Here is a 17561-nt window from a genome sequence, read left to right as displayed (position 1 = left end):
AGAGTGAATTTTTTTAAGTCCAATTAATTTAAAGATTAAAATTATCTTTTAATTTGAACATTAATCTATTCAACATTTCCTGTCATAGCAATATATTGGTCAAATTCTATCTTTTAAATTTTTGCTTTATTTTTATATTTTTCTGTTCATATATTTAAAAACTAGACATTATAGCACACAAATAAAAATTAATAAATTTATATATAAATTTTAAAATAGAGCTGATACACACTCATACCGACCAACTAGACCAATACATACATAAATTCCAGATGCTAGCAAACACATGTGCAGACCTTCCAGATGGGATTTCCCCCACCCTCAGGAGTAAATTAATATATTAATTTTTTATATTAATAATTCCCCTTGCTTCTCTTCATGGCTCCTATGTGCTATGCATCTATCCATGAATTTTATACTTTATGTAATAGCATTACACTGAATGAACTTCTTTGTTCTAGCTTATTTTATACATCCCTTTTTTATTTTTTTATTTTTTCCTATATTTTTAGATTAACACATTTTGTCACATGTAACATTAGTTCTTTCATTTTCCACTGCTGCCTATTTTTCCTACGTATGACTACACCACATCTTATAATACATTCTACTATAACTGGGCATTTTTTAGTTTTCATTTGCTTTTTTCTATTATGAACAATGATACTACAAATGTTCTCTTGGTAAACATTTGCAACAGTATGCCCAGGCTGGTCTCAAACTCCTGGGCTCAAGTGATCCTCCTGCCTTGGCCTCCCGAAGTGTTGGGATTATAGGCATGAGCCACAATGGCCTGCAACAGTATCTCTTGAAATGAAACTGCTGGGTTATAATATGGCGTATTGCTATGGTTTTAATTGGAAAACCTCAGTAAAAATAGCCTCTTTTCATATTTATTGGCCATTTGGTCTTCCCAAATATGAAACTGATGTTCATGTTTCATTTACTACTTTTTCTATTCATGTTTGCCATTTTTCATATTAATTTTTAAGGTTTTAGATTTCTATGATATTAATTCTTTGTTAATGTCATGCAATGCCAAATTTATCTCCTTATTTGTGACTTGTATGCTTTCTATGATGTGCAAAGGAATATACATTCTCAATTTTAAAGTATTCAAATTTAACAAGGCAAAAAATCCAGCAATTTAACTGAACAGCCCTAGTGGGACACACTAAGAACTTTAAAGAAAGCTTTAAAGTATGAAGTTTTTAAAAGTTTACAGTTTAAAGAACTCTAAAAGAAGTTACCTTTCAGTATTTATAATATTATTATTTAATGTTATTGTTATTCTGGAACTATTATATCATAGGATTAGCAAATAAATAATTATGTTACTGTGGTTAGGAAGAAAGATTTTTTATATATAAGTAAAAAGCAATACAACTACAAAATCAAAGAAATTAAAATTAAAACCTATAATCTTAAATTTAGACAGAAAATATCAACATGAATACGTAATATATTTTTCTCCTTAAAAAATTTCCTAGCTCTTTCTATTCAAAAGGCCTAGAAACAAGGACCAACTGAGTAGCAGATCCGGTACTGACAAAGCTCAACCTTGGTGGGGGCTCAACCTTCTGTGGGGTGGGAAACATTAAAGTTAACAGTCCAACTCCATTATTACTGAGCAAGAAAATGAAAGGTGGCTTTAGAGCTAAAAGTCAATAAACTGATAACTGGCATAGGTATCAATAATAATAATAATAACTGTAATAGAATGAAACCCATCTCATGTATTTATGAGTTCACAATGATCATTTAAAAACAAACAAACAAAAACTTCATTAGTCACCAGCGAAGAATGTTAAGGAACCAGCTAGTACTTTGAAACTAGTAAACAAAGGGAAATAATTCAGCACTGACTCACTTTCCTGTAAGAACTCTATCTCAGAATAAATAAATATTCTGGGGAAAGTTCTCTTTATAAAAGTATTCTACCTATTAAGGTAAGACGTAATGATTAAAAATAGAATCATCACTATTTTGCAACCCCTAGTAAAATAAAAGCTTCACTCACTGATCATCAATGACTGCTAACATTACAAAAAGAGACAATAGAGCATTATGTATCTCCTAATAGTATTCAATACTACATATGACATATTCTTACAGAGATTTGAGTCTTAATCTAATCAAGTCTCTATGCTGAACTAACAGTTATAGATAATTCAGGACTAGAAAACAGGTTAAATGAAACCATGGGGATGCAATCAGCAAAATTCAGAATGTGAAAAATTCTACAAGACAAACAACCCAGTTTCTTCAATACCAAATTGCAAGGACCAATAAATTATAAGGCAAAAAATAGTAGAAACCTGTAGACTAAAAAAGACATATCAATCTATTGCAATCTATTTGAAGAAACTGGAAAAAAAAAGTGATGAATGAGGAAATTTGAACACTAGATATCTAACGTTAAGGAATTACTGTTAATTTTAGATATGATAATGTCCTGCTATTTATGTGTTAAAAGATATAGCCCTTATCTTTTTAAAGACACATACAGAAATCTTTAAGGACAAAAAAATATGAATCATGTGATTGAGAATTTGTTTAAAAATAATCCACAGGGAGGTATAGGAGTTACTGGAGTCGAGACAAAATTGGGTATGAGATGATTAAGTATAGCAGGTACATGGGAGTTTTATTATAAAATTCACTCTATCTTTGTATATGTGTGACTTTTTATAAATCATTTTTTTAACCACCTTCAGGAAAAGGCTATAATAAAATCAGTTATACTTGTCTGAAATGTCAGATTCAATTTATGGATCTCCCAATGTATTTATTTACACTCTCACACAGAGCTAAGCCCTTAAAACAAAAGAATGACTCTAGCGCATTCTAAGGATCAGTGAGTCAGTGAAAAATTTTATTTTGGGAAGAGAAACATTCCCAGCAATCTTAAAATCACATCAGATACATAAAGAACCAACAAATTCTGCCTACTTCTAAGTAAGCCTCTGGCTTTGAGCATAATCTGGTGTGATAATAGAAGTTCACAAAAGGATAAAAGTTGAGTTTTAAAATTCTAGCATTTTACCATTTACCTAATGATTTTCCACAAATAAAGAAAAAAAAGGAGCAATTTTTAAAAACAATTCAGAACTGCTTTAATACTATTCAGACACTTACACAAAAGCAGATTTACATACCTTGCCTGGACTGTGAAGGTGCTACAGGAACTTCTTGGTTTGGCTCAAAAGGAAGTTCAGGTGTTAGGTTTTCAAACTGCTCTTTACTAATGAGATTTAGCTTCTTAAAGTTCTCAACTTCTTGCTGAAGTAGAATGGAGGAATCTAATTACTAAACTGGCTAACAGAGTAACCAACAGACAATAATTGATACCAACCTCAAAAAAATGAACTTCTAAAACAGGGATTAATTACAATGGAGTGAAAAAGACGTTCTAATAAAGAGTCTAGCATTATACTTAATAACAACATTCAGAATCTAAGAGGCATATAACACCCTAAAATATTATAATGATTTTATAATTAAAAAACATTATAAGACCACACATACTAATCATTAATTATTTGTTGAGCATTTACATACAAGACTACCAGGTATTACAGACGTTACAAAGTAATCTAATACATGTTCCCTACCATTAAGGAATTTATATGTTAGATGAAAAGGAAGAAATGAACACATAAAAATAAATAATATTAGGTAGTATGTGAAGAGCGATATTGGTGTAAGAATTACGATCATCAGGAAGCCATCACAGGAGAGATGGGACAAAAGCACCTCTTGAAGGATGAGAATTTAGAGAAAGGGAGAAACATTCTAAATAGGTAATGAGAGCAAAGATAAGAAGCTTGGAAAAAGCAATGTGTTTATTACAAAGTAATTAAGTGACTAAGAAAATCTGTGTAGAACCAGTGGCAAAGAGGACTGATGAGGAAGTTGGAGAAAGCTACTAGAAGACCTTTAATACTGGGTCAAGAAGATTTCACTTTGTTTTATAATAATGGGATGCATGTGATAAAGATAAATCTGGATGGCCCTGGATAGCTGCAGCAAAGAGACTCAGTATATTTGAGTTGTTAGCTCAAAGGAAGAATAGACCCCTCCCTGCCTCTGGGGTTCTGGAGGCTTCCCCTTTGTAACTACTATTGCATAGTCACTTAAGTGTTTCCGGCCCTGACCTACAAATGTGTGGAGCATTACAGAGGGTAGAGGTCATTCTCTACTGGAAGTTCACTTGGCCACAGGTGAACTTAAAGGTTGAACCCTAAAGGTTGAACCCTATGGTTCACCCAGGTGAACCATAAAGACCCTCTATGTCTGGCCTAAACTGTGAGATAAAAAAGGAGTTTGAGGGACTGCTTACACTCCACTATTTCTTCTAAGTTTTTCCCAATAAAACCCTATATCACATCTACTCCACATGGTACTAATGGGTACATGAATCTTTACAGGGCAACATCCAAAGCGGGTTTAAGCAAGTAAAAAACATAAGAAAGAATTTTTCGGGTTGAAGCAAATTTAAAACAGGAAGGAAATTAAATATCATTACAAAATAGTTGTAGCTTGCTCTTAATAACAAAAGAATCTTTTCCTTCTGTCTTCAAAGATGAAGTCACTTGTCAGCTCAAACCATTTATTAAATCCCAATGTTAGCCTTTTAGATTATGATCTTTTTTCACTAAAGTACCTTTAATTACATCAAAATGTATATTTATCAACATTTCTTCCTCAAAAGTTTTCAATAAGCTCTTCAGGCTAAATCAGAATCATTGCTCACTCCTCTTGTCCTTTATCTTGCTACAGAGCTTGCTATTAGCAACTCCCAATTCTATAAATAATTATTGTATGTTTACTACATGCCAGAGATAAATAACACAATTCTACCCTGATGGAAACACAAGTTGTGTATGTTTTTGTTTATTTTTATTTTTAACTAATTCATTAATGTATAACATACACACACACACACACACAAGAAGTGTACAAATCATAAGTATATATCTCAATGAATAATCGAAGGTAAACAGACTTAATCACCATTCAGGTAAAGCAATTATTAGCACCCTAGAAGCTTCCTTTTCATGTCCCTTCTGGTCAGGATCTCCTCTTTCTCCCCCAAAATAGCTCATACACCTTCAATACAGTAGGTGTTTTGCATGTTTCTGAACTTTATAAAAATTGAATTACACCACATGGTTTCTTTCATGCAAAATTATGTTTATGAGACTGATCCATGTACGTGCATGTAACCACAGTTTGTGGCTCTACAGCAGAGGTCAGCAAACTACAGGCCCAAAGGCTAAAGCCTGTTTTTATAAATGGCTGTGTTGGAACATAACCACACTCATTTGTTTACATATTGCCTATGACTACTTCATTGCTACAACTGCAGTTAGGTAGACAATGTATGACCACAGACAACGTATGACCCACAAAGTCTAAGATATTTACTATATTTGTCTACCCTTGCTCTATCCTACCATATGAATACACTGCAAGTTTTTAAGAAATCCATTCTGCTATTGATGAGCATTTGGGTCCTTTCTCAGATTATAGCTATTACAAACAAATTCCTATAAATACGTTTTTACAAAAACTTCTTTTGGGGAACAGGGACACAAATTTTTGTTGGATATTTACTTAGGAGTGGAATTGCTGAATTGAGCAGTAGGTTTCTATTTAGCCTTAGTAGAAAATGCCAGTTTTTCACAGTGGCTGTACCTATTTTTATCCCCATTAGCAGTATATTAAAGTTCCTGTTGATCTACATCTGCACCAATGTGTGGTATTTTCAGTCTCAAAATTTAGCCATTTGAACAAGAATGAACCCTAATGTAAACTATAAACTTTTAGTGAGAATGATGCATCTAGGTAGGTTCATGAACTGCAACAAATGTACCACTGTGGTAGGGGATGTTGACAATACGGGAGGCTATGCTTGTGTAGGGGAAGAGGATCTATGGAAAATCTATCTTCTGCTCAATTTTGCTATGAATCTAAAATTGCTCTAAGAAATGTGTGATTCCATCATGTAACATTCTCAAAATGACAAAATTATAGAGATGAAGAACAGATTAGTGGTTGCCAGGGGTTAGGGATAGTGGAGGTGAGGCAGGTGGGTTAGACTCTAAAGGGGTAACTTTAGAGAGCACAGGGAGAACTTTGTGGTAATAATACAGTTCAGTGTCTTGACTGTGGTGATAGTTATATGAATCTACATGTGATAAAATGGCACAAAACTATACACATACATTTGTGATAAGAAATGTCTATTTTCTTGTTTTAATATTACACAACATATTTCCTTTTTTTTTTTTTTCCCTAGAGACAGGGTCTTGCTCTGTTGCCCAGACTGGAACGCAGTGGTACGACCACAGCTCTCTGTAGCCTTGAACTCCTGGGCCCAGGTGATCTTCCCACCTCAACCTGTAGCTGGCACTACAGGTGCATGCCACCATGACAGGCTAATTTTTTTTTTTAATTTTTTTTTTAAGAGATGAAGTCTCACTATGTTGCCCACACTGGTCTTGAACTCCTGGCCTCAAGCAATCCTCCTGCCTCAGCCTCCAGAACAGCTGGGATTACAGGCATGAGCTACCTTGCCCAGCATTGTGCTATAGTTACATAAGATGTATATATAGTTATATATAAGATGTGACTTTTGAAGGGAAGTGACGGTACACAGTACCTCTCTGTACACTTTTTGCAACTTCCTGTGAATCTATAAATATCTCAAAATAAATATTCAGAAAAAGCTTTTAATGTAGTCATCCTGGTAGGTATATGTGTTATCTCACTGCAGCTTTAATTTGTATCTCTCTGATTACTAATGAGGCTGAAAAGCTTGAGTATATTTGCTGATTTGGATAGCTTCTTTTGTTGAGATGACTATTCAATACTATTGCTCATTTTTCTATAGGGTTGTCTTTCTCTTATTGATTTGTAAGAGTTCTTTATAAAATATTGTAAATACTTTTTGACACTTTTTTAACTTGCCTTTTTATTCTCTTATAGTATCTTGATGAAAAGAAGTCCTTTAATGTAGTGCAATTTATCAATCATTTCCTTCATTGTGCTTCCTGTTCAATAAATCTTCCCCACTGAAATATTACTGAGCTATTATTTCTATAAGTTTTATTATTTTGTGTTTCACGTTTAGAACTATAATCCATCTGGAATTCACTTTTCTAAACTGCATTCACATTTTGTATAACCTTACTGATTTTTTGGTTCTGATTGCTCCATCTTACACCTTTCTTTATACGAAAGGTGTGTGTTACAATCTCCCACTATGATTATGAATGCACCTATTTGCCTGCAAATTTTATGTACTTTGAAGCTACATTATTAGATGCACACAAATTTAGAAATATTATATCTTCTAAGGCAATGAAACTTGTCATGATTATAAAATATCCATCTTTATATCTTGAATAAGTTTTGCCTTAAAAACCTACTTTGCCTGATAGAGTAAATAGAGTTACACCAGCGTTGTTGTGTTTATTGCCACTATTTATTTAAATATATACACATATTTACCCTTCCCATTGCTCTTCATTTCTTCCTGCATCTCCAACCTTCTTTCTGGAATCATTGTCCTCTGCCTGAAAAATTCCCTTTAGTATTTTCTTTAAAGCAGATCTGCTGCAAATAAATTTTCATAGTTTTCATTTCTCTGATAATATCTCTATTTTACCTTCATTTTTATACAGGTTTATTTAGAGCTTTATTTTACATCTCATAAATTCACCTATTTAAGCGTACAATTCACTTATTTGTTTACCTTAATTCTTGAACACTATTTTCCCTTTCTTTCAGGCACTGTAACTACATCATCCCTTTGTTCCCTCACCTCCATTATTTCTACTGAGAAGTTAGCTGTAAGTCTTACTATTAATGCTTGTAATCTGTCCTTTTTATCCAGCTTTTGTTTTCAGTTGTTTTATATGGTCTTGATGAGGTTTTCTCTGTATTTATCTTCTTTGAAGTTTTTAGGACTAGAATCTGTCCTTTGGTGTCTTTCATCAGTTTTGGAAAATTCTTACCCATAATCTCTTCAAATATTACTTACGCTTTATTCTCTCTCTCTTCCCCCATTGGAGGATCCAATGATATGTGTTAGACTATGTCTCTTACACCCTTTTCTGTATTTTCCATCTTTTTGCTCAATGCTTCACTCTGGATTTTTCTTTTGATCCATCTTCCAGTTTAATAATTATCTCTTCACTGTCCTGATCTACTATTAAGCCTACCCATTGCACTTGATTATCATATTTTGTATTTCTAAAATTTCCACTTGATTATTTTTTAAAGTTTCTGGCTCTATACTGAAATTCTCCATCTTATCTTTTATTTTTTAACTTATTAAAAACAAAGTCTGCTTGATAACTCTATTTTCTGGATCACTAGGGGTCTGTTTCTATTTCCTGTTGTTTCTTTTGTTTTTTTTCTATCATATCATATTGTCTTCTAATATTCCTAATTATTTTTTGAGGATCAGACACTATTACTAAAAGCTTGAGGCTTAGGATGGAACTGGCAGATGAGTCTGAGGGAAATGAAGACCCAAATGCCAGCCTTATTTCTCTAGGTTTTCTTCTCTTTCCAGTTTTTTTTTTTTTTTTTTTTTTTTTAGCTTCAAGCCTTTTATTCCATTTTGGTAGGTTTGTATAAAAATACTCTCTTTAGGAAAATAAATAGCAGCTGCTCTCACTGTGGAGGCTTGGATTCCCTGGAGCTGAAGGCTTCTCAAAGCTGAGATCTGCAGATCAGCTCATCACAGAAGCCATGGGCACCTCCCAAGCTGTGCGGTTCAGGAGGGGGCGGCAGAATGGCCTGGTCCAATCACCTGCTGCTGCTGGCAGTGGGGCTGGTGAGTTGGTGTTCTAGGTGGGTAAAGTGGCACCTTCTGTCACGGGGGTAGGGTTGGATCACAGGAAGAGGGTGATGGAGAGTGTGGCAGTGATCTGGAAGGGGTTAGGGCTCCAGAGGACCTCTAAGGATCTACAAAGTCTCTGGGCTTCCAGGATTCCTCCGGCAGAAATGGGAAATATTTTGTCTCTGATTTAGTGCAAATTGTGCTAGAGAGGCCAGCTCTAGAGAAACAATGGGCAGCTTTGGTGGCCCCAAGCTGGCTCTACTGTGAAGCACAATATGGTTAGTCTCATTAGAGGGATGGAGAAGCAGCTGCTGGAGTTGGGTATGGGATACTGTCCAGGCCAGCTGGACTGGTGGGGGAAGGGGAGCAGACGTTGCTTAGGGTGGCACCTGCAGGGAGTAAGGCTCGGGTGCCTCACAAAGCGAGGAGGGTTGGAGAGCCAAGGGGGTCAGAGGATGGGTCTCCGCTGCTGCTGCTACTCTTGTGATGAGCTGAGGCACAGGGCTCAGGAGTGCTGGGGTAGGTGAAGACCAGGCTGGGGGTGAAAGGAGTTAGGGAGGGTGTGGTCATGAGCTTGGGGGTGTGCAGTGCCGCAGGTTCAAGCACAGGCCCTGGGGAAAGGGAGATACAAGGTACAGGGCGGCAGGGGGCTGGCGGGCTGCTGGTGCCGCTGGTACCGCCTGTGTACCCCTCCTTGGCTCCTTCGGGGATTTTGCAGATGGGTCAGTGGGCTTCCAGCACCAGCTCCAGGCGCTCCTTCTGCTTCTGCAGCTCCTCGATCTCTCGCTGCAGCCCTGATTTCTCATCTTCCAGTTTATCAGTCTCCGCCTGCAGGAAGTCAGTCAGTTCCTTCCTCCAGTTCCTACACTTGGCCGCAGCCAGCTTGTTCCGCTCGGGCCTTACTCGGCGGCGCTCCTCTTCCTCCGGGCTGATCTGTTCACAAGGCCTTGGACACACCACTGGAGGCGGCCCCAGGGCCCGGATGGCTCCTGGCTGGGGTTGTAGGGGGCTGGACTAAGGGTAGGTCAGAGGCCTGGGGCAACTGCTGGGCCCCAGAAAATGAAGCTGTACCATCCACTGCAGCTCCTCACTGCCACTCATGTTGCTGATCCTTGGCACGAGGTGGAACTTCTGCTGGGCTGCCTGCACTGCGGCCGGGGGGCTGCGCGGGGTCGCCATACCCACGCCATTCCCGGAGCTCGGGCCGGGTTCCCTGAAGTCTCAGAACATGCCCCGGGCTGGCGGCTCCGCGTGGTCCACGGCCGCTGGCTTCCGACTCTCTTTCCAGATTTTGACCACATGATGTTTTACTGTCTTGGCCCTCTACTGTGCCTTCACACAGATTTTTTAAACCTACTTTTTCAGCTGTTCTCAGCAATAGGGTTCATCTGAATTAGCCAGTCTACCACAACTGGATGCACAACCAAAGCCTAATTTTGGTTTTTGTTTTTGTTGTTGTTGTTATTTTTAATAAATTTATACCTTGCCTTGTTCAAAAAGGGACCAAAGAGATTTAATGATCTAATGGATATAAAAAAATTTGTAGCCTGGGCACAGTGGCTCACACCAGTAATCCCAGCACTTTGCAAGGCTAAGGCAGGTGGATCACCTGATGTCAAGAGTTCGAGAGGAGCCTAGCCAACATAGTGAAACCTCATCTCTATTAAAAATATAAAAATTAGCTGGGCGTGGTGGTGGGCGCCTGTAGTCCCAGCTACTCAGGAGGCTGAGGTAGGAGAACTGCTTGAACCCAGGAGACGGAGGTTGCAGTGAGCCGAGATCACACCATTGCACTCCAACTTGGGTGACAGAGCAAAAAACTCCGTCTCAAAAAAAATAAAATTTTGTAAACAGATTACAATTCAGTATAAGTCAAAAACAAACATACATATGTGGTGCAAAGGTAGAACAGGAGAGTAATTTTTCTGGGATTGAGCACAAAATTTATCAAATAAGATTTTCCTGGAAGAGTAATATCTGAACTGGGGTTTATTTAGCTAAAAGATAATGAATTTGGCAAGTAAACAATGTGAAAAGCCACTGCAGGCAGAGGAAACTGCACATGCAACTTGGTATTTATGGATACAAATTTTAAAGCAGAGAGCAACAGGACAATGAAAATATGTAAAAGCCAAATCAAGAATTCATGAATTCTTGCTTGCCAAAGAATTTGAACTTTATCCTGAAGGGGGTGAGGAACCACTGAATAGAATTAAGAAAAACAGAGAAATAATCATATTTATATTTTACGATGATGAAGGATTTTAGAAGGATGAAGGATTTTCCTTGGAATCATTTACTTTGAAAATAATGAAAGCCTGAAACCATCAATGGCCACTGTTGCTCCCACTCAGAGAAAGCGTAACTGAAAATGAAGCTAACACAGAGCAAAGTACACCAAAGATAGGGGTAAAGAAAAGCAAAGTCTTTCTTTGGTGTCTTATACAAAGCCTTGCCTAAAATCAAGAACTGCTTCTTGGACTTGTAGTAAATTATCTAATTTGCTAGGGAAAAAAAATGAAATGAGAAATAAGGAGGAAAGACTACTCTGACAAGAGTTAAGCTAGAAAGAGAATGAACTAGAGCCAAGAACATCCTATAAAACTTCTATAGAGAGATGACGCATGGCAGTAGGAATGAATATGAAAGGACTGATAGGACCTAGTGACAAACTGCATGTTAGAAGTTACGATAAGTGGATGGGGATTCCTAAGGCATCCAAGCAAAATAAAAAATATAGGTTTGGGGTGGGTTTTCTTTCATTTTTTAAAATGAGAGACAGAATATAAAAAAGATGCCTATGAAACATAAGACAAATAACTGGAGAATTTAGTAGGCTACCGGTAATATAGTTCTAGAGTCCCACAAAGACACAAGGGAGTCATTAGCATACAGTTAATAAATAAAAACCCAAAACTTAAGAATAGAGTCTATCATTTCTAGACAAGCTATCAAAATAATAAGAGAAGTAGGCCAGGGATAAACCAGGGAAGACCACATTTTAAAAGGCAAACTGGCCAGGCACTGTGGCTCATGCCTGTAATTCCAGCACTTTGGGAGGCCAAGGCGGATGGATCACGAGGTCAGGAATTCGAGGCCAGCCTGGCCAAAATGGTGAAACCCCATCTCTACTAAAAGTACAAAAATTAGCCAGGCGTGGTGGTGCACGCCTGTAGTCCGTGGCTGAGGCAGAAGAATCGCTTGAATCCGGGAGGCGGAAGTTGCAGTGAGCCAAGATCGCGCCACTGCACTCCAGCCTGGGCGACAGACTGAGAGTCTGTCTCATAAATAAATAAATAAATAAATAAATAAATAAATAAATAAATGGCAAACCAAGGCCAGGCGTGGTGGTTCATGCCTGTAATCCCAACACTTTGGGAGGTCGAGGCAGGCGGATCAGCTGAGGTCAGGAGTTCAAGACCAGCCTGGCCAACATAGTGACACCCCGTCTCTACTAAAAATACAAAAATGAGCTGGGTGTGCTGGCGGGCACCTGTAATCCCAGCTACTGGGGAGGCTGAGACAGGAGAATCGCTTGAACCCAGGAGGTGGAGGTTGCAGTGAGCCAAGGTTACACCATTGCACTCCAGCCTGGGTGACAAGAGCAAAACTCCATCTCAAAAAAAAAAAAAAAAAAAAAAAAAAGGCAAACCAAAATTGTAAACTTAAAACTGTAAAATAATAAATCCTGTTGTGTGTTTTATCACAATTAAAAAACAAAAGTAAAAAAGGAAGAGGGCAACAAGACCACTTTGTTGTGCCATAAAATATAAATGTGCTGAACAGATGACAACATGCTGGTTATAAGCAGGAACCATCTTGAGAGAGCTCTAACCTGACTAGGTTTGAGATATTCTGAACATCAAAATGAATGAGGACAAGAATGGATAGAAATCCATGTTGGAGTCCATACTATCACTAAAAAGGGAGAAAATTAAAATATAAAAATAAAAAAATGAAGTGGAGAGGAAAGTTCTTCTTTATAGAAGAATACTAACAGACATATAGGGAATAACAAATTTAAAAATCACCATCTAAATAAAAAAATAAAAATAAAAAATAAAAAACATTAACCTAAAAAATAAAAAAATAAAAAATAAATAAAAATCACCATGTTGGCCGGGCGCAGTGGCTCACACCTGTAATCTCAGCACTTTGGGAGGCCGAGGCAGGTGGATCACGAGGTCAGGAGTTCGAGACCATCCTGGCCAACATGGTGAAACCTCGTCTCTACTGAAAATACAAAAATTAGCTGGGCGTGGTGGTATGCGCCTGTAGTCCAAGCTACTCGGGAGGCTAAGGCAGGAGAATCGCTTGAACCCGGGAGGTGGAGGTTTCAGTGAGCCGAGATTGCGCCACTGCACTCCAGCCTGGGGACAGAGCGAGAGTCCACCTCAAAAAAAAAAAAAAATCACCATCTTATAATAAGCATAATAGCTGATTCAAGCAAAAATCACCAATGGAAGCTAAAATACTGAATAAAGACTGTTGGGGAACACAGTTTTAAAATATCACTCCAAGGATCATTTATTAATTACAAAAGAGAAAAGGTACATTTACAGTGAGCAAATCTGGTAGATATCATCATAACCAAATGACCAAATCACCAATTCTAACCACATCAAATTTTGTAACTGACATCACATGTCTCTGGAGAGCATATACTAAACAAGGCACATTGCCTATGTAATGTTCTTGTCAAAAATACTTAACCTGGCTGGGCGCGGTGGCTCACACCTGTAATCCCAGCACTTTGGGAGGCCAAGGTGGGCAGATCACTTGAGGTCTGGAGTTCGAGACCAACCTGGCCAACATGGTGAAACCTTGTCTCTACTGAAAATACAGAAAATTAGCCAGACATGGTAGTGCATGCCTGTAATCCCAGCTACTCAGGAGGCTGAGGCAGGAGAATCACTTGAACTCGGGAGGCAGAGCCTGCAGTGAGCCGAGATCACGCCATTGCACTCCAGCCTGGGTGACAGAGCGAGACTCCACCTTAAAAAAAAAAAATCTTAACCTGAAGCTAATCATATAAAGATATCGGGCAAATCCAAACTGAAGGACAAAACAACTGGCCTGAACTCTTGAAAAACATCAATGTCATGAATAGCCAAAAAGAAAAAAAAAGGCAGCACAACTATTCTAAATGAAAGAACATTAAAATTATATGACTCTCAAGGCAATGTGTGATTCCTGTCTGGAATTGACTTAGAAAAAAATAAAAGAAATTATAAAGGACAACTGAGACAACTGGAGAAATGTAAATATAAACTGCATATTCAATAATAGCATTCTATCAATGTTAAACTTCTTGTGTTTTTGATAATTGTGGTTATGTAGGAGAGTGTACTTGTTTTTAGGAGATACTTGCTGATGTATTTTAGGATAAGCTGACATAATGTCTACAACTAACTTTCAAATGATTCAGGAAAAAATGTATATATATGCACCTATATATTTATACATAGAAAAAAAGGAAATATGGTAAGATGTTTGCCAAATCTAGGTGAACAATATACTGGCATTCCTCATATTATGTATGTAACTTTTCTGAAGGTTTGAAGTATTTCAAAATGAAGACTTGGAGGGAATAAAATATAGATGCATATTACTGATACAGAAAAATATTCATAACATTAAGTGAGAAAATGGCATTGTCTTTCAAAGTCTACATTTCTCTGCAACTCATATTGGTCTGACTAGAAAGAAGAAGCTTAAGCAACAAGGATTTCCCTTCAGCCAAATTGCTTGAAAGAACCCTTGGTGCTTCAACTTTCTCACTTCCCATTCATGTCAATGTGAATTACAGTCTGATGGTAGGTCCAAGGTGGTCAGCAGTAAGGGATTTTTATTTTTTTATTTTACATTTCTTCATTTATTTTTTTTTCCCAAGACAGAGTCTTGCTGTCTTGCCCAGGCTGGAGTGCAGTGGCGCAATCTTGGCTCACTGCAACTTCTGCTTCTCGGGTTCAAGCAATTTTCTCTGCCTTAAAATAAGAAGTCAGTGGGGGAAAAAAGATGAAGCTGGTTGGGTGCAGTGGCTCACATCTATAATTCCAGCTCTTCAGGAGGCTGATGTGGAAGGATTACTTGAGGCCAGGAATTCAAGACCAGCATGAGCAACACAGTGAGACACTGTCTCCACAAAAAAGTAAAAAATTAGTCAGGTGTGGTAACACATGCCTGTAGTACCAACTACTAGGGAGGCTGAGACAGAAGACTCCCTTGAGCCCAGGAGTTTGAGGCTGCAGTACGCTATGATCTCACCACTGCATTCCAGCCTAGGCACAACAGGGTGAGACCCTGTCTGAAAAAAAAAAAAAAAAGAAAAAAATTAAAGCTATAGTTGAGATAGAATGTGTCCCTTTATGGGTCATAATCTCAGACACCATTTATTTTCTTGGCTTCTTCAGTGAAACTATATATAATAACCACACCTTTTTTGTTGTTGTTGTTTTGTTTTGTTTTGAGATGGAGTCTTGGTCTGTCGCCCAGGCTGGAGTGCAGTGGCACGATCTCGGCTCACTGCAACCTCCGCCTCCCGGGTTCAAGTGATTCTCCTGCCTCAGCCTCCTGAACAGCTGGGAGTACAGGTGTGCACCACCATGCCTGGCTAATTTTTGTATTTTTAGTAGAGACAGGGTTTCACCATGTAGGCCAGGATGGTCTCGAACTCCTGACTTTGTAATCCGCCTGCCTCTGCCTCCCAAAATGCTGGGATTACAGGCGTGAGCCACTGCGCCCAGCCCACACCTATTTTTTTCCTCCAAATTACCACTAGTGGACTTCCTGTCTCAATTGTTCCCTCTCCTTTTCTTTAATACCTTAAAAAGTTCAATCACTTTTCCTGCTTTAAGTCTCCCTTCTTTACTAAATACTCCAAAATCTACATTTCTGGCCTTCTTATCATCTCTAGGATTTAGAGAGAGGGCAAAAGACATTTTACATAAATAGACACCATGAATCAACTCAACATTTCCAAATCTGATCTTAAGATCATTCTCTCCTAGGTTTTCCTTGCTAATGTCCCTACTTCTTTCACAAGGTATTATGAACAGATTCTTTAAAATCGCTTCCCAATTTTGGCACTTTTTCATTCTCACGTAGGTTATTAATGAATGTTGAGAAAATAAACGATATTCCTTTTGTTCAGCTCTTCATTTCACCCTTGGATTACTATAAGTGGGTTTTTTAACTCAACTTCTGTCCTCCCCTATTCTGATCTAGGTTAATGCCTCACATATATAAACCTATTAAACCACTATTTTGATCATTCCACTTTCTTTATAAAAACTGCAATTGCTCTTTATTCTAAATTCCTATAAAGCTTTCAAGACACTTTGCAATCTGGTCCCACCTCACCTACCCAATCTTCAGAGTACTGTAGTGCTAACATTTAACTTACAGAAATTCAATTATACTTGTTTAGCAATAATAATACTTTTTAAATGGGCCAGCAATGCCACTGCTATTCTACTCAATGAATGTATGCATTGATGTAATCAAATCCTAATGTTAATGCACAGAAAGAAAAACCTAACGAAAGGATGAATACATTTCGATAATGTCCTGACCACTGAAAAGTGCCCAAACAAGTATAGTTTTACCATATCCTTTCATGTTCAAAAATGTTGAAAAGCATAGGGAAATAACAACTAAAAGTAGAAAGAATTATTTTAAGTATTAGCCTCTGGCCAGGTGCAGTGGCTCATGCCTGTAACTCCACCACTTTGGGAGGCCAAGGCAGGTGGATTACTTGAGGTCAGGACTTCGAGACCAGCCAGGCCAACATGGTGAAACCCCATCTCTACTAAAAATTCAAAACTTAGCCAGGCATTGTGGTGAGCACCTATAATCCCAGCTACTCAGGAGGCTGCAGCAGAATTGCTTGAACCCCGAGGGTGGAGGTTGCAATGAGCCAAGACCCCGCCACTGTGCTCCAGCCTGGGCAACAGAATGAGACTCCATCTCAAAAATAAATAAATAAAATAAAGTAAAATAATAAAATTTAAAAAAAAATCAGCTTCTAAAGAGAAAGATGACTATGGACAGGAAGACCCATCAAATTAGAATCTTTATAAATATGCTCAAGTACTTCAAAATTCAAGCACTTCAATACTTTATTTTATAAATATGATCCTGCTACATTACTACATATATATTTAGAAGCTTTTTTTTTTTTGAGACAGAGTTTCACTCTTGTTGCCCAGGCTGGACTGGAGTGCAATGGTGCAATCTCGGCTCACTTCAACCTCCACCTCCCAGGTTCAAGAGATTCTCCGGCCTCAACCTCCCAAGTAGCTGGGGTTATAGGCGCCCACCACCACGCCCAGCTAGTTTTTTATATTTTTAGTAGAGAGGGACTTCACCATGTTGGCCAGGCTGGTCTCAAACTCCTGCCCTTAGGTGATCTACCTGCCTCAGCCTCCCAAAGTGCTAGGATTACAGGCATGTGCCACCGCGCCCAGCTTTAGATGCATATTAAGGTGTAAGGCTATGCATAAAGTGATACGTATTTTACTGGTGATTTAAGAGAATTAGGAATGTTTTGATCATTCTCAATTTTCAACTTAAAAGGGCTCTAAAACCTATTCCCAAATAATATTGAACTCTGTTAGATAATTCACATACTTAGCTCTCATTAGATAATCAATGTCAAGAAACTTTTTATTACTCAGGAGCCAATTTCAAAAAAAAGTTGTAA

The 17561-nt window shown here is 37.9% G+C and overlaps 1 protein-coding gene and 1 pseudogene across 46 annotated transcripts in view; both read right to left on the bottom strand.

The window, feature by feature from the left end:
• The window catches only part of LARP1B (La ribonucleoprotein 1B), a 162138-nt gene that overhangs the window by 57451 nt on the left and 87126 nt on the right, over positions 1–17561 (bottom strand). For 41 of the 46 annotated variants that reach the window (XR_938753.3, XR_938754.3, NR_146772.2 and 38 more), the window contains one exon: positions 3159–3282. The exons of the other annotated variants lie outside the window; for them this stretch is intronic. Coding sequence is in view for 37 of the 41 variants with exons in the window: in XM_017008340.2 (XP_016863829.1) it covers positions 3159–3282 (124 nt within the window). In the remaining 4 variants the exon portion in view is untranslated. The remainder of the gene's footprint in view (positions 1–3158; positions 3283–17561) is intronic. 46 annotated transcript variants of the gene reach the window in all.
• Positions 9077–10136, bottom strand: FOSL1P1 (FOSL1 pseudogene 1; annotated as a pseudogene).

Source organism: Homo sapiens, chromosome 4 (assembly GCF_000001405.40).
Source record: "Homo sapiens chromosome 4, GRCh38.p14 Primary Assembly".
In the NCBI taxonomy this organism is placed as follows: domain Eukaryota; kingdom Metazoa; phylum Chordata; class Mammalia; order Primates; family Hominidae; genus Homo; species Homo sapiens.
Note: the sequence above shows the minus strand (reverse complement) of the source record. Positions and strands in the feature narration are given on the sequence as shown.